Source organism: Homo sapiens, chromosome 14 (assembly GCF_000001405.40).
Source record: "Homo sapiens chromosome 14, GRCh38.p14 Primary Assembly".
Lineage (NCBI taxonomy): Eukaryota > Metazoa > Chordata > Mammalia > Primates > Hominidae > Homo > Homo sapiens.
The window spans coordinates 63,145,328-63,164,048 of NC_000014.9; the positions used below are offsets into that span (position 1 = coordinate 63,145,328).

At 36.6% G+C, this 18,721-nt stretch overlaps 1 long non-coding RNA gene across 1 annotated transcript in view; it reads right to left on the reverse strand.

Annotated features, from left to right (window-relative positions):
- Positions 1 to 18,721, reverse strand: part of LOC105370531 (LINE-1 retrotransposable element ORF1 protein-like) — a 58,110-nt gene that overhangs the window by 25,728 nt on the left and 13,661 nt on the right. The window contains exon 2 of the long non-coding RNA XR_943934.4: positions 13,047 to 13,145. This is a non-coding gene — a long non-coding RNA (LINE-1 retrotransposable element ORF1 protein-like). The remainder of the gene's footprint in view (positions 1 to 13,046; positions 13,146 to 18,721) is intronic.

The following is an 18,721-nucleotide window of genomic DNA, read 5'->3' on the forward strand; positions in this document are numbered from 1 at the left end:
ATTTTGTATCCATTAACCAAGGTCTTTCTATCCCTCAATCCTCATGTCCTTCCCAGCATCTAGTAACCACTATTCTACTCTCTGCTTCTATGAGATCAATGTTTTTAGCTACCACATGAGTGAGAACATGTGCTATTTGTCATTTTATGTCTGGCTTACTTCACTTAACATAATGTCCTCCAAGCTGATCTATGTTGCTGTGAATGACAGATTTCATTCTTTTTTATGGCTGAATAGTATTCCATTCTGTATACATACCACATTTTCATTATTCATTCATCGCTTGATGGACTTTTAGGCTTATTCCACATCTTGGCTATTGTAAATAGTGTAGCAATAAACATGGGAGTGCAGATAGTTCCTCAAAATACAGATTTTCTTTCCTTTGTATACATGTCCAGTAGTGGGATTGCTGGTTCATATGGCAGTTCTATTTTCAGTTTTTTGAGAAACCTCCATATTGTTCTCCATAATGGCTGTACTAATTTACATTCCCACCAATAGCGTATGAGTTTCCTTTTTTCCACATCCTCACAAGCATTTTTTATTTTTTGTAATTTGATAATAGCCATTCTACCTGGGGTAAGATTATATCTCAGTATGGTTCTGATTGGGATTTCCCTGATGATTAGTGGTGTTGAACAGTTTTTTTATATATCTTTTGGCCATTTGTATGCCTTCTTTTGAGAAATGTCTATTTGGGTCTATAGCCCATTTTAAAAATCAAAACATTTGGTTTTTTGGTGTTGGGTTGTTTGAGTTCCTTATATTTTCTGATTATTAATCTTCCATGGGATGGAGAGTTTGCAAATATTTTCTCCCATTCTGTGGGTTGTCTCTTTGCTTTATTGGTTCTTTTGCTGTGCAGTAACTTTTTAGCTTGATGTAATCCCATTTGTCTATTTTTACTTTTTTTCCCTGTGCTTTTGAGGTCTTATACAAAAAAATTTTTGCCCAGACCAATGTCCTGTAGTGTTTTACCATTGTTTTCTTTTAGTAGTTTTATAGTTTCAAGTCTTACATTTTAGTCTTCAATCTATTGGGAGTTGTTTTTTTATATAGTGAGAGAAGGATCTAGTTTCACTCTTTTGCATATAGATATCCAGTTTTCCCAGCACCGCTTATTAAAGAGACTGACCTTTCCTCAATGTATGTTCTTGGAAACTTTATTGAAAAGGAGCTGGCTGGAAGTGTGTGGATTTATTTCTGGGTCCTCTATTCTGTTCCATTGGCCTGTGTATCTGTTTTTATGCCAGTACTATGCTATTTTTGTTACTATAGCTTTGTAGTATAATATAATTTGAAATAGGATAACGTGATGCCTCCGCTTTGTTCTTTGTGTTCAAAATTGCTTTAGCTATTAGAGGTCTTTTGTGTTTACATACAAATTTTAGGATTGGTTTTTCTATTTCTGTGAAGAATGTCATTGGTGTTTCTGTGGTGATTGCACAGAATTTGTAGATCCCTGTGGGTAGTTCAGACACTTCAACAATATTAATTCTTCCAATCAATGACCATGAAATATCTTTCCATTATTTTGTATGTGTCCTCTTCAATTTCTTTTATTAGTGTCTCATAGTTTTTCTTGCAGATATTTTTCACTTCTTTGGTTAAATTTATTTCTAAGTATTTTTACAGCTGTTGTAAATGAGATTGTTTTCTTGATTTATTTTGCAAATTGATCACTGTTAGCATATTGAAATGCTACTGATTTTTGTATCCTACAAATTTACTGGATTTATTTATTCATTCTAAGGATTTTTTTATGGATTCTTTAGGTTTTTCTAAATATAAGATCATTTTGTGTCCAAACAAGGATTATTTGACTTCCTCTTTCCTGATTTGGAAACCCATTGTTTCTTTCTCTTGCGTAATTGTGCTGGCTAGCACTTCCAGTGGGCATCCTTATCTTGTTCCAGGTCTTAGCGGAAAGGCTTTTCATTTTTCCCCATTCAGTATGATGTTAGCTGTAGGTCTGTCATATATGGCCTTTATTGTGCTGAGGTATATTCCTTCTCTATCCAATTTGTTGAGAGTTTTTGTCATAAAAAAATGTTGAATTGTATCAAATGCTTTTAAAGCATCTATTGAAATGATCATATGTTTTTTGTCCTTGATTATGTTGATGTGGTGAATCACATTTATTAATTTGCATATGTTAAGCCATCCTTGCATCTCTGGGATGAATCCCACCTGATTATGGTGAATGATCTTTTTTTCCTTCAACTTTTATTTTAATTTCCAAGGTACATGTGAAGGATGTGCAGTTTTGTTACATAGGTAAATGTATGCCACAGTGGTTTGCTACACATATCAACCCATCACCTAGGTATTAAGCCCAGCATGCATTAGCTACTCTTCCTGATGCTCTCCCTCCCCAACCCTGACAGGACTCAGTGTGCATTGTTCTTTCCACTGTGTCCATGTGTTCTCATCATTCAGCTCCCACAGAAGTGAGAACATATGGCATTTGGTTTTCTGTTCCTGTGTTAGTTAGCTGAGGATAATGGCTTCCCACACATGTTCCTGCAAAGGACATGATCTCATTCCTTTTTATGGCTGCATAGTATTCCATGGTGTATATGTACATTTACTTTATCCAGTGTATTGTTGATGGGCATTTGGGTTGATTCCATGTCTCTGCTATTGTGAATAATGTTACAATGAACATATATGTGCATGTATCTTCATAATAGAATGATTTATATTCCTTTGGGTATATACCCAGTAATGGTATTGCTGGGTCAAATGATATTTCTGTTTCTAGATCTTTGAGGAATCACCACACTGTCTTCCACAATGGTTGAACTAATTTACTTTTCCACCAACAGTGTAAAAGTGTTCCTTTTTCTCTGCAAACTTGCCAGCATCTGTTGTTTCTTGACATTTTAATGTTTGCTGAAGCCGATCTGCTAGTATTTTGTTGAAGATTTTTGTATCTATGTTTGTCAGGGATATTGGCCTGTTGTTTTCTTTTTTTGTTTGTTTTTGGTTTTTGTTTGTTTGTGTGTGTGTGTGTTTCCCTATCTAGTTTTGGTATAAGGGTGTCCTCCTAAGCCGAGTTTAGAAGTTTTCCCTCCTCTTCCATTTTTTGAAATAGTTTGAGTAGAACTGATATCAGTTCTTTTAGTAAGCGGTAGAATTCAACAGTGAAGACATCAGATCCTGGGTTTTTCTTTGATAAGTGACTTTTTTTATCACTGCTTTGATATCACTACTCCTTACTGGTCTGTTCGGGTTTTCTATTTCTTCATGGCTCAATCTTAGTAGGTTGTATGTGCTAAGGAACATATCCATTTCTTCTGTGTTTTCCAATTTATTGGTGTACAGTTGTACATAGGAGTCTCTACTGATCCTTTTTACTTCTGCAGTGTCCATTGTAATGTTCCCTTTTTCATCTCTCATTTTATTTGTTTGAATCTTCTCTTTTTTCTTAGTCTAGCTAAAGGTTTGTCAATTATCTTTTTCAAAAACCAACTTTTCATTGTTTATCTTTTATGTTGTTTTTACTGTCTATTTATTTCTGCTCTGATCTTATTTCTTTTCCTTCTACTAATTTTGGGTTTGATTTCTGTTTTTCTAGTTCCCTAAGGTGCATCATAAGGTTGAAGTCTTTCTATTTTTTGATGGAGGAATTTATGTCTATAAATTTCCCTCTTAGTACTGCTTTTGTTGTATTCCACATGATTCTCATATGTTGTGTTTCCATTTTCATTTGTCTCAGGATAGTTTTTTAATTTTCTTCTTAATTTCTTCGTTGGCCCATTAGTCATTTGGGAACATGTTTAATTTCTGTGTATCTGTACAGTTTCCAAAGTTCCTCTTGTTATTGATTTCTAGTTTTATTCCACTGTGATCAGAAAAGATACTGAGTATGATTTCTACTTTTGTAATTTGTTGAAACTTGTTTTGTGGTCTAAGATATGGTTTAGCCTGTGGAATGTTTCATTTTCTAATATGAAGAATGTGTATTCTGCAGCAGTTGGATGAAATGCTTTTTAGATGTCTATTAGGTTCATTTGAACTAGAGTATAGTTTAACTCCAATATTTGTTGATTTTCTGCCTGGATTATCTGTCTATTGCCAAAAGTGAAGTGTTGAAGTCTCCTACTATTATTGTTTTGCAGTCTATCCCTCCCTTTAGATCTATTAATATTTGCTTTATATAGTTGGATGTTCTGGTGTTGTGTGTATATATATTCACCATTGTTATGTTCTCTTGCTGAATTGACCCATTTGTTGTTATATAATGAACTCTATGTCTCTTTTTACAGTTTTTGATTTAAAGTCTACTTTATCTGATATAAGTATAGCAATTATCTGCTCTTTTTTATTTTCATTTGCACGGAGTATCTTTTTCCATCCCTTCATTTTCTGTCTGTGTGTGTCCTTACATGTGAAATCTGTTTCTTGTAGGCAGAATATAGTTGGGTCTTGCTTTTTAATCTGTTCAGCCATTCTACATCTTTTAGTTATAGGGTGTGATCTATTTACACTCAATATTATTGATAGGTATGGACTTATTACTGCTATTTTGTTACTTGTTTTCTATGTGTTTTGTAACTCCTTTCTTCTTTTCTTACTGTCTTCCTTTGTGGTTACATGATTTTTCTCCCATAGTATGTTTGAATCCATTGCTTTTTATTCTTGTTATATCTATCATAGGTTTTTGCTTTGCACTTACCTTGAGGCTTACCAAAAAAAATCCTGTAGTTACAACAAGTTATTTAAAACTGATATAAACTTAAATTTGATCACAATAAAAGGAAAAGAACAAACAAACAAACAAAAATCATGTACACATTAACTCCCTGTACATGTTAACATTGTTATTCCCCACCTCATTTGTGACCTTGGAATAAATTTGCAGACCTGGGAAACGGAAATCATGTTTGGTGACTAAAAAGTACTACATTTATATTGATTCTAATTTTGATGAATAAACAACTCTGAAGAGTTCTGATTCAACTAGAAACACAGCAGCATTTTATTTCTGAATCTTCTCATCACAAAGAGCAGCAAAGAAAGTAAAAAATAAACCTACAAAGTAAGAGAAAGAAATCATAAAACTTCACATTGCAAATAATTGGTACCAAAGATGCAGTGGAATGGGAAGTGAGGAACAGGGAGAACAGAGAAGGCCTAATGGGAAATGACCTCAGAAACAGCCAGCAAATATAGTACATTTTTTAAAAGCTGGGGTAGCTTTGGAAGGTTAGGATTCTATCTCTTGTTGGTTATGGTCTTAATGAACCCAAGGCCAGTAAGAGAAATACATAAAAATGAGATCACACAGGAGGGCCAAATGTCAAGTCTTTTGCCACAACATCAGAAGAGGAAGCCCTTGAGCTAAGAAGCCTACAAATCTATCCTGGCCTCACCCCTCCATAGTAATCTCTTGTTAAACATCACTAAAATATGAGTAACAAAAAAGAAATGTGCCCTACATTCTCATAAAGATACTACAGAGAAAATTTTAAAAATGAAAAAGAACAATATAGCCTTCTTAAAGACAATGAAAACACCAGAAAAATCATTGACAGAAGGCAGATAAAAAGTGCAACCTAATATTCCAACTGAGAATTTTAAACCTTTATGCATCAATTGAAACTATAAGGATAAATATCAAAACATAGAGAAGAGATGGCTACACAAGAAGACATGACAGTAGATAACAGGAGGGCATGAAACAAGAACTGACGGAACGTATGAAAGAAACAGAAGAAAAATACAAAGCCAGGTCCAAAATGACGACTAAACTATAGGAAATACTAAGAATAATAGATACCATAGAAAACCACAGTAAGGATACAGAAAACAGAAATAAAATCCAACAAAATGCAAAATAAAATAGAAATAGGAAGGAAAAGGCCCATACATATATATAATTTAAAAATTATACAGGAAAAAAAGGACTGAAAGGAATATATGTATATTCCTTCTATATATGTATATGTATTCTTATACTTTTTCTTAACCTTATATATATATATACATACATACACACACGTACACACACACACATATATGGTTGTATACACAAGTATAAATAGTTGCTGATGATAAAAACCAACTCATGGAACTTAATAAGCACTCAAGCTATTTCAACAAAAAAACCTTTCCTGAAATTAAATAAAGACAGAAAAGAAGAAACTAAGGAAAGAAAGAGGAGCATGGAGGGAAGAGAGGAGGGAATGAAGCAAGCAGACTGAGTTGAATCTGCATATAGAAAAAATATAGATTTATTGAATATCAGGGAAAACCAACCCAGAATGGCCAACCCTGAGACTATCCTAGTAAAATTATTCGAACTTCAAAATAAGAAAAAGAATTCTTTGGGCAACCAGGTAAAAATAACAAGTCACTAATAGGAGAAAGAAATCAGGTTAGTTGAGGTTTATTGACAACAACACTCAACAAAGGCCACAGAAAACATGACAGCAACACCTACAAGATACTCATGAGAAAAGGGTATAAGACAAGGATTTTATATCCAGCTCAACTCCTCTTAAAGTTTAAAGGCTACAGACAACTACAGTCAGTTATTATTTGTGATAGTTATATTCTACAAAGTCTTTGCAGATACTGAATTAGCATATACTGAATAATTGATCCTAGGGGAAATCTAGGGTTAGGTTCCTGCAAGCCAATGGTCATAACATTTTCATCAATATAGCCTTGTTTTATGTGGGCTTCTGTTTAAAGATGCCTTATTTAATATATATTGTTGATGCATTATCATTTAACTCAATCAACAGCACTATAATTTATGCCTAAACAAAGCTTATCTAAAACATCTATTTTCTCCAGAAGGCACATTATAGCCTTCTTGCCACTAGGAATACTCAACAGCACTTCAGCACTATCTTGAGGGCCATCTTAAAAGTGAAATCACCAACAAAAGCACAAAAATGCAAAAAACATAGCAACAAATTGGCCATTCAGAGGACAGTTGTCCACAGTATGAGAGCTGAAAAAAGAAGACAGGTCTCAGCTGAGAATGTACACATTAAGCAGGTTGGGAAACTCAAATTTTTTACCACTCTGCGCACATCCTTAAGGTGATCCCAAAAGTACAGATTTACGGAAAACAAATGAATTTTAGCAAGTCAGAAAATTCTAACATTTATGTTGGAATCCACGAACAATGGAGATTGACTATAGTTTTGAAAATTCAAGAGTTTGGGAAATACTGTTCACATGAAAGTTTCATTAAGAAACCTCTTGAGTACAAACTAGCAAACCAAAGATAAATTGGATCAATTAAAATTAGACGGTGAATTGAGGAGCTGGGGAAAAGAACAGAAAGTAATATTATCATTGCTCATGTGAGAATAATTATTGTTTTAAATAAGAGGGGAATGAGAGTATAAGGTAAAGGTAATCTTTGGATTAAAAATTAAAACTTCCTAAATATCAAAGGGAAATGACTGCAATTGAAAAAGTCAGAAAAAAAAAGTTTTGTATAGTATACATTTTTTAAACTTGTATATAGAAACACAGAAAACATAACACAAAATGACAGAACTAAGACCAAACATACATTTCTATCAATGTATGTATATAAGCTTAAGTAATCTATTAAAAGGAAAAGATCTTCTGATAAGTCACAAAACAGAATTCAATGCTATACTTTATACAAAACACATGTCTAAACTACGTAATTTTAAAAGCTTAAATACATTTTTAAAAAAAGAAAAACACAAAGTAAAATAATAGGAGTTGTGATCATAATATTAAACAAGGTAGAATTCAGGCCAACCATCAAGAGACCAAAAAATGGCACTATATTGCTAAGGGTACGATTCACAATGAAAACAAAACAGCTATAAATGTTTGATGCCCATATTTAGAGTTTATTGATACTTTTGTAAGAAGAGAGATCATACTTCATAGGGAACTACAGAATGTCTCAGTAAGTTAGGCAGGGCTTGTTATAGGATTGGGGTCTGTTATAGGGTTCAAGGACCTGTGGTTTTGCTGTTAATCAGGTGATGTCAGAAAGTGGCAACAATTCTATAACCAGGTATCTTAGTGATATTTATCTACAAATCAGGAAGACCAAGAACAGCTGAAGCTATCATTGGTAACAAAGCAACAGTTGTTCATGTTAGCTGGGAGAGGGGGATGCGTGGTCATTTTTCTGATTTGCACAGTGTTCTTATTTTTGTCTTTGTTCACACATGATTATGGAGTGGTCTTGTTTTGTCCAACTCCATTGTTGTCACAGGGCACCTCTGTCTCATGTTGATATTGTAAAATTGTGTAAGTTCAACAGCAGAACATCATGGGCTAGCTGTAAGAGTCATGCCAGGTACCAATTGACACCTATTGGGGGCTGCTCCTTTTTCTCAATATTTATACACAAAAAAAAAACAGAGTAGCAATTTTCATGAACCAGAACTTACAGAAAAAGGATATGTTGAGATACTAATAACAGGAGATATAGACTTACCTCTCTTGGTCTAAGATAGATCAATTTGAACTAAAAATAATGACATAAACTACCTAAAGAACATAATCTACAATGCAGAGCTGAGTGACATATACCAAGATTTTATCTGAAAATAGAGAATACAACTTACCTTCAAGTGTACATGGAACACTCATGAAAATTGAATACATATTAGTTCACAAAGAAAACCTTAATAAATTCCTTAAAAGAGGCCGGGCACAGTGGCTCAAGCCTGTAATCTCAGCACTTTGGGAGGCTGAAGCGGGTGGATCACGAGGTCAGGAGTTCAAGATCAGCCTGGCCAGCATGGCAAAACCCCATCTCTACTAAAAATATAAAAAATTAGCCAGATGGTGGGTGCCTGTAATCCTAGCTACTCAGGAGGCTGAGGCAGGAGAATCACTTGAACCTGGGAGGCGGAGGTTGCAGTGAGCCGAGATCGTGCCATTGCACTCCAGCCTGGGTGACAAGAGCAAGACTCCAGTTCAAAAAAAAAAAAAGAAAGAAAAAAAGAAGTAATACAGATAACTTATTCTGATAATAATGAATTAAAACTGGAAATTAATTACAAATTCAAAAAATGAAAACTCCTGATCTTTTAAGTCAAATGGAAAATGTAAAGAAAGCCTATAAATTTGCTAGAAAACACTATTAATGAAAACAGTATCAGACCCTATAGAATAAAACAAAAGCAATACTCAGAAGAAAATTCTTAAAATACTTATATCATTAAAACATAAAAATAATTAAGACATGCATCTCAAAATTTTTTAAAAGAATAACAAAATAAGTCAAAAATAAGGTAAATAAAGGAATTAAGAAAGACAAAGGCAGAAATGAATGAATTTGAACAGAATATCAATAGAGCTAATACCTAAAACAATAATAATATTTATTAAGAGATACTATATACAAGCACTGTACTAAGCCCTGGCAATAAAGAGATGCAAGACAGAATTAATACATAAATAAATAAATGAAAGGGTAAACAGTTCCTTACTTTAGACAGTTTTCCTAATTAAATTCCCCTTCATAGATATGTTTTACAAGTATCTATGATACTGATACTACATACTTGATATGTTTTACAAATATCTATGATACTGATACTACATACTTGATATGTTTTACAAATATCTATGATACTGGTACTACATACTTGATATGTTTTACAAATATCTATGATACTGATACTACATACTTGATATGTTTTACAAATATCTATGATACTGATACTACATACTTGATATGTTTTACAAATATCTATGATACTGATACTACATACTTGATATGTTTTACAAATATCTATGATACTGATACTACATACTTGATATGTTTTACAAATATCTATGATACTGATACTACATACTTGATATGTTTTACAAATATCTATGATACTGATACTACAGTACATCAGTATGTACTGATACTATATAATTGAACACTTTCACAGCCATGAAAGGAACTCTTTTTGATTGTCACTATAAAAGACTTCTGAGATAACTTTAAACTTAAATATAAACTTCCTAGACAAAATCACAGGCTCTAATTTTATAAATCTCTTTTCTTCTCATGTCAACAGTTAAAATCTGTGGAACATAAACATTTGTCTAAAAACAGAAAATCAGCTACTGTTTGTGGGAAAAATAAGTTTATAGTTCCCAATAATTTAATGTGAGAAAGATAGGCAGGCAGACAGAGATAAGAAGGATAGAGTTTAAGAAAAGTCATAACTCTTCTAATCATGCTTTATTTTTCCATTGTCTGAAAGATCGTGAGTCAGCTATACAAATTTTTTGAGCAAGAGAAAAAATATAAGGATTTGAGGAAGCCCTGGAAATGAACCCAATAATCATGAAGACAAAACATTTCCCTCCTACTGGGTTTTTCCCATCAGTCTCTAAACATCCCTAAAAATGTACTCAAAATGACTCATCACTTTCTGTGTGAGGAGGGCTGTGAGCCTCACCAGCAGTACCATGCGGACCATGTGTAGGGCAGATAGTGCCAAGGGCCCAGAAACACTGTATCCTACATGGTTTCCAGGTTGGTTCCAGAATCAACTGTCTGTATCGAACTCAATGGTAAAGGAGACACCTGCAGAAGGAACTGAGACAGGAGCTGCTCTTCTAGGTGGATCTTCAGGAGTGAAAGGAAGAAGGAACACACTGAGCAACTCCTGAGGTTTTCTAGACACCACCCTCGTGCTCAAGCATGCCTGAGGTGGGCGGGCTGAAAGCAGTGAAAGCAGAAAGATCCTTCATTCCTATCCAGTGCTTCCAGAAGAGGGACTCTGATTCTTTTGGAGAAGTAGTATATGGCAGATGTCAAAAGTAACCCACCTACTTATGCAGAGTCTCTGGAGGCATGCTGCCTTAGGGTCCAGAGATGACAGATAGATAGACAGATAGATAGATAGGATAGACAGATAGATAGATAGATAGATAGATAGATAGATAGATAGATAGATAGATAGATAGACAGACAGACAGACAGACAGGTTTCTCCACCCCCTGCACTGAACTTCTTCCTCTAACTAATGCCCTCTTTTCCACTTTCACCAGCATCTATCTTAGCTGTCTCCATGATTCTAATTTCTGTTCATTTTTCAGCCTGGTATGTGCTAGCCTCTGCCCCCATCGTTCTTTTTTCCCCAGCCACATGGAGGTATAATTGACAAATTAAAAACGCATATATTTGTATGCACCTTAGAGTGTACAACATGATGTTTTGATGTACATATACATTGTGAAATGATGATTACTACAATCAACCTAATTAACATATCCATCACCCCACATAGTTACCTTTTATATGTGTGTGTGGTGAGTATATTAAAATCTAAGTGTTAGATGTCTGGCAAATTTCAAGTATAAAATACATTATTATTAACTATAGTCACCTTGCCATACCATAGTTCTCCAGAACTCATTCATCTTATAACTGCATGTTTGTACCACTTGACCAACATCTCCTTATTCTCCCCACCCCCTGAACACAGGTAACTACCCTTCTACTCTCTGTTTCTACAAGCTCAACTTCTTTAGATTCCACGTATACGTGAGATCTTGCAGTATTTGTCTTTCTATGCCTGGTTTATTTCAACCTTAAGCAGAACATCCTTCAGGTTCGTCTATGTTGTCACAAATGGCAAGATTTTCATCTTTTTTAAGACTAAGTAATATTCATACACACAAACACACACACACACACACACACACACACACAATGTATATATAACATTTTGTCCATTCTTTGGTCAACAGACACATGGGTTGTTTCTGTATGGATGTCCCCACTCCACATCTCTTGTTCCCTCTTAGGAGGAGCAAGGGGCATTTTAAAGATCATATGCCTTCCCTCAAACCCACAAAGCCAGGCCAGGTCCTGAGAGCCTCCCATTTTTCTTCCCTAGGACAATACCCTGAAATGCTCGAGTTTGTGTGCCTTCTTCCAGTCCTGCAGGGTCAAGCCAGTTGTCAGCCAGGACACATGTACTTGCTTTCCATGAGGGTATGCTCAGAGAACCGGACTGGAGTAGGGGGAAGAAGCATGCAGAGTGTTTGGGGGACTTGTGGGCCAGCTGGAGGTGGGGTACACAGGCAAGGCCTCCTGGGTGGCTGTAGTCAGGCTTCCTGAGGGAGTTTGTAGGGCAGTTAGCAAGGTTTGCAGCCTCTCTTCCTCCTCCCAACCTCTCCCAACCACTCAGCCATGCCAATCACCCCAGTATTCTGGGTGGGGTGAGAAGGAAGCAGGTCTCTTGGGGGCAAGGTCCCACATAGCTGGGGGAGCCAGGGGTCACTCACTGCACTCTCACTTTCTCCCACTGGAGAAATCGAGGGCCAAGGGGAAGGAGTGATGTGGATAAAGTGAAGCTGTTCTTCTTATCCTCTTCAATCATCTATCTATTCTCAGATTTTTTGCTCCAGTCATGTGCTGGAACTTCTCTACTGGACTCCCAGATTCCCCCAGTGGTACTCCCCTCTGTGGGTAGCTGTCAAAATAGATGTTTCTGTGGAGGGACAACAGTAGAAAGGTCCTAGACCACCATCATGCTGACATTGGCACCATCATTCTTCAAAATTGCTTCTTGGTGAAACCCCATCTCTACTAAAAATACAAAAATTAGCCGGACGTGGTGGCACGTGCCTGTAATCCCACCTACGTGGGAGGCTGAGGCAGGAGAATCACTTGAACTTGGGAGGCAGAGGTTACAGTGAGCCAAGATCGTGCCACTGCACTCCAGCCTGGGCAACAGAGTGAGACTTCATCTCAAAAAAAATTAAATTAAATTAAATTAAATTGCTTCTACCGAGCTCACTCATGACCCTTTAATTACTAAAGCCAGTAAAGGCTTGTGGCTTCTTCGGCAGACCTTCTGCTAGCCTTGACACTGTCCACTGTCCTTGTTTGTGAAACTCCTCCCTCGGCTTGTGAAGCCCACTCTCTCTGAGTGTTCTCCTTCTCTCCAGTAGCATCTTCTTAGCCTTTTAAGCTGGCTCCTCCTGATCTGCTTGCCCTTGGAATGGTGGCATCCCCCAGGAACTTATCTTTGGCTTCTTCTCACCTCACAATTTTCCTGGGCCCTTACCTACTCCAGTGACTCCAACTATCAATATGTTGATTTCCAAATTTACATCTGCATGGCTTCTCATGCCTGGTTTCTTATTAATCCCATCAGTTCCACCTCCTATTAAAAGACAGAGGAATGTGGTAGTTAAAACCATGGACTCTGGAGATAGAATGCCTGGGCCGTGGGGCCTTAGGGAAGTCACCTAAGCTCTCTCTGTGCCTCAGTTTTCTCATCTGTAAAATGGAAGGGGGAGAGTAATAATAGTACCTACTTCATAGAATTGTTGTTCAGATTGAGTTAATGTATATAAAGTACCTAGAACAGGACCTGAAACATAATAAGCGCAATGTATTTGCTAATTTTTTAAAGTTCGGCATCGCTGTTTAGTATCTCCTGTAAGCATCTCAAGTTAATTTCCTAAATCTATCTTCAATATATTCATTTAACATACTCATTTTCTCTCCACCTCTAGTGCTCATACCTTAACCAATTCCAACTATTTGGTATTGCAAATGTCAGGCCATACTTACCACTCAAGCTTTATTTCTGGCCATTTTTCCCATACCCATCAACCCTACCCTTTGACTACACAACAGAAACTGAGATCCAGTTCATGCCTCTTTAACCATGTCATGCTCTTGATTCAGAGCCCTTATCTTCTCTTCTGGCTTACTCTGCCTGGAAGCTTCTGCCTCTTTCATTCCTCTCTACCTGGAACACCTAATCATCACTTTCACGCAGAACGACTTGGACATAGTTGTACAGCCTATGCACTGAAGAACTTTAGCGTACTCTATTCACATCTTAGTCTATGTGGCCAGAATTTCTTGAACTTGTGTAGTGTGTACACAGTCATACACGATGGTCCTGGACCACCCTGCCTTATCCAGAAAACTTTTGCTTATAAGTCTCTGCTTAGAGATCCCTTCCTTCAGGACATTCTTCTGGCCTCTTGATCAAATCAAAGCCTGTTTTCTGCTATACCTGTTTTCTGCCCACCTTTGGCACCTCATGCTGTTAATAGTAGCCCTTTTCACAAAATGTTGCAACATATGTTTTCTTATGTAGCCCCTACTAGACTCTTGGTGGTTCAGCGTGTCCAAACCAAACTCCATAACTTCTCTTCACCCCAACTTTGACCACTCATTCACTCTTTATCACCCAAACTTCCTTTCTTTTATATTCTCTATTTATACAGAACCATCTCTTCATCATATTTTCAACCAACCCCTTGACAAATTTCTTATCTTCCAGCCATAATTAGTAAATACCCATAGGATTTTTATATCTATTTCCATGAGAGCACATTCCACCTCAGTTATATCATAATTTTTGTTTATGTGCTAATCTCTCCATAGGCCATGGACTTAATAAAGGCACAGGGTCACCTCCCTATCACCAGTACCTAACACGCTGCTTGAAACTATGTTGTTTGAACTTAACATCTTTAAATATGTAATAAATAAATATAACAAAATAATTCGTAGGATTTAGAATAAACTATAAATCTGTATAAACCATTTGTTAGGACTTCACTAATTCACTCATATGCCTTGAGACCTTGGTTTTTTTCTTTTTAATATATTTCATTTATTTATAATACTGGTTTTTATTCAGAAAAAATACTGAAATGTGAATTTTGTAATAACTAAATTAACATATTTCCTCATATAAGTAAAAATAATTTTAGTATATACTCACATATGTTACTACTCGCTAAATCTATTTCAATGCTGAACATTTAGCTGGTATAAAATTAATACTGGCAATTATGGCATGAAAAGAACATTGCCTTGGAGAACACTGTAAGTAGTAAAGCAATTCCAAAAATTACGAACTTAAAATTAGAATTCTAAAAACTGTTATTTTAAGTAAATTCCCATGATTCTTCTGATAACAAAACATTCTTACTACTTATAAATGTAAAAACATATTTCCGTTTAACAATAAATTCTCCCATCCCGAGAAAAGAAAAAAAAAAATACTGTGTTTGAGTCTGGTCTCTGACCCTTACTGATCTTGTGGCCTTGGACAAGTCAATCCTACAAAGCCTCAAGTTACTCATACGTAAACAAAAAAGAAAGCAATTATAATATGATCTTACCGAGTAAAATATCAATATTAAATGTAACATGGTATGTGAAAGTGATTTCTAAACTGAAAAGTGCTGGGTATTATCTATTATCTCTGTTAATATGATTCCCATCACATAAACCACTTTCCAAAGAATAATTCGGTCCCTGAATGAATTTGGTTCTCACATATCTCTTTATCACCACAGCTGACTCTGGAAGATAAAAGTCACATTATCTTGAAAGTGGAGAAGAAAATAGAGTGTGCATAAATAAAATATACATTTATATTAGTATTTAAGTGTACATTGCATTTGTGTTAGGTATTTTAAAGATTTTTAGGAAACAAAGTCATAAGCTTTAAGTCTCATCCTCAGCTACCAAATAGTATAGAACAAGGTCAGCAAACTTTTTCTGTAAAGTGCCCAATAGTGAATATTTCAGTTCTGTGAGCCATATGGTCTCTGCCACAACTACTCAACTCAGCTGTTGTGCAAAAAACAGCTATAAACAACATGCAAATGAATGAGTATGGCTGAGTTCCAATAAAACTTTATGTATACACACTAAATTTTGGATTTTATATAGTATTCACATGTGTTTTAGTCTGGTCAGGCTGCTGTAACAAAATACCTTAGACAAGGTAATTTACAAACAACAGGAATGTATTGCTCACAGTTCTGAAGGCTAGAAAGTCCAAGATAAAGGTGCTGGCAGACTGAGTGTGTGGTGGGGGCCCATTCTCACAGATGGCACCTTCTATGTCCTTGCATGGCAAAAGGGTCAAGCAAGCTTTCTCAAGCTTCGTTTATAATGGTGCTAAATTCTATTCATGAGGTCTGTGCCCTTATGATCTAATCACCTCCTAACGACTCCACCTCTTAATATTATCACACTGGGGATGAAGATTTAACATATGAATTTTAGAAGAACACAAATATTCAGACCACAGCAACATGCCATAAAATATTATTCTTCTTTTGATTTGTTTCTGCCATTTAAACATGTAGAAATCATTAGTGCATGGGCTATGTAAAAACAGGCAGCAGGCCAGATTTGGCCTGTGAGCCAGCCCCCCATATAAAGATAACACTCCACATTGGACATTTAGATGTTTTTCTGGTAGAAGAGTAATTCAAGTTAATTCATTTAACTATAGTAAATTAGCCAGGGTTGGTAGCTTTTCAAAATTAGAATAAATTTCAGATTATATTACAAGTAAAATTCTTGATTCCTTCTTGGAGCATTGTTGGGAGATATTTGGAGGTGGCTATTCTAAGGAAAATCATCATCTACATCAATTCAAGATCCACAAAAATGGTACTTGTGCATATGCTATACCACATCATCTGCCTTCAAGTGGCTTATCATGGAACCTGGAATGGCTTATACATTTTGAGTGTTTATTACAAATTTGCATCTGAAGAATTCTTGCACGTGGTCGTGTATTCTATTTCTCAGGCAATGTAGTAAGAGTGTAGTTTGAAAAGTCACTCAAACCAGGTTTGCTATGCTCCGAATGTTTGTGTCACCCTAAAATTCATGTGTTGAACCATAATCACCAATGTAATGGTATTACGAGGTGGGGCCTTTGGGAGGTGATTAAGCTTTAGGGCAGAGCCCTCATGAATGGGATTAGTGCCCTTATAAAAAAGGGCCCAGAGAGCTGCCTTGCCCCTTCCCCAATGTGAGGACACAGCAAGAAGGTGCCATCTATGAAACAGGAAGCAGTTTATCGCCAGACCCCAAATCTGCCTGCACCTTGATCTTTAATTTCCCAGATTCTAGAACTGGAAAACACATTTCTGTTATTTAAAAGCTACCCAGATTTTGGTATTTTGTTATAGCAGCCCAAACAAACTAAGACAGGGGTTAAATCTCAGCTTTCCTGCTCAATAACTATGTGATTTCCCAGCACTTTGGGAGGCTGAGGTGGGTGGATCACAAGGTCAGGAGTTCAAGACCACCCTCGCCAAGATGGTGAAACTCCCTCTCTACTAAAAATAGAAAAAAAAAAAATTAGCCAGTCATGGTGGTGGGTGCCTGTAATCCCAGCTACTCAGAATGCTGAGGCAGGGAATTGCTTGAACCTGGGAGACACAGGTTGCAGTAAGCCAAGATCATGCCACTGCACTCTAGCCTGGGTGATAGAGCGAGACTCCATCTCAAAAAAAAAAAACCACACAAAAAAAAAAAACAAAAAAAAACTCTGATTTAAAGGGAGCTTGTCAAATCCTTTAATTCCTCATTTGTAAAATAAGAAAAAGAATAAGAATATTTGCATGGTTTTTGGAAAGTGAAAGGAGGTCACATAGGTAAAGCGCTCAGGGCAACACATGGTTCCTCTCCCTCATTCTAGTTACAATTTCAAAAATATGTTTCAAAACCCATGTTACTCTAAAGCAAGGCAAATTTCCATCTTTTACTTCTTATTTTTTTCTGCATTCAATATAATCATATGAGGAACCAGTAATGATTCTAAAATTCTTGCTCACACCCGTAATCCCAGCACTTTGGGAGGCTGGTGGGCAGATTGCTTTAGCTCGTGTATCCAAGACCAGCCTGGGCAACATGGTGAGACCCCATCTCTACTAAAAATGCAAAAAAAATAGCCGGCTGTGGTGGTGCACACCTGTGGTCTCAGCTACTCGGGAGGCTGAAGTAGGAGGATTGCTTAAGTGAGGTGTGCTGGGGAGGGGGCGGAGGTTGCAGTGAGCCAAGATCATGCCACTGCACTCCAACCTTGGTGACATAGCAAGATCCTGTCTCAAAAAAATAAATAAATAAAATTCTTATCACGTATTAGTATTCATGATCACATCTATCTGCATTTAAAATGCCTTGTAACAAGGAAGCTAAGCACTCATTTTATTGAAACATTCTAGATATGTCTGTTTTCTAATGCAAAGACATTCACAAGAACATCTAAGCATTAACCTCAGTGTTCAAAGTGTCAAAAAGATTTTGAAATCATGAATATTTTTATGTAAAATACTGATTTAATGTTTCTCAGAAAAATTCAAGTCTAAGGGTGGCATCAGCAGAATAGCAGTTCTCAGGATTCACCCACCACCCCACTTCCCTACGCCTCCACTGAGAGATCAACTAGCAACTATGCACAGATAAGAACACCTTGGTGAAAATCCTGAAACATAGAAATAAGCCTAAGTCACCTGCATGTTCCATAGAAGTGAGTAAAAATCCACATTGAAAGGGTAGGAGAAATGGTGTATCTCCCTTCCCCAAGTCACCACAGTGCCATACAGAGAGGATTCCCCAGGGCCTACAGTGGGAAAAGACAACCTGGGTGGTGGACATCCAGCTTCCCTAGGATTCAGAGATGCTTCCCTGAAAGCCCACTCTCTTCTCACCTCACAGTAACGGTAGGGAAAAACTGCACAGCTAGACTACGTGGGGTCAGGTAGAAACAAAGCAAGAGTTGCAAAGCCCACAGAGACCAGTGCACAAATTTTGGCGAAAGTTCAGTGTACCTCCCAGCAGTGGTGCTAGATCAGAGATACCAGATTCCCCACCCCACCCCCCACCCCCACAAAGCTGGACTGGTCACTCCCAGAAGAGGTGGGAAATGCTACCTGCTTTGAATCCGTAGATAGCTAGCTG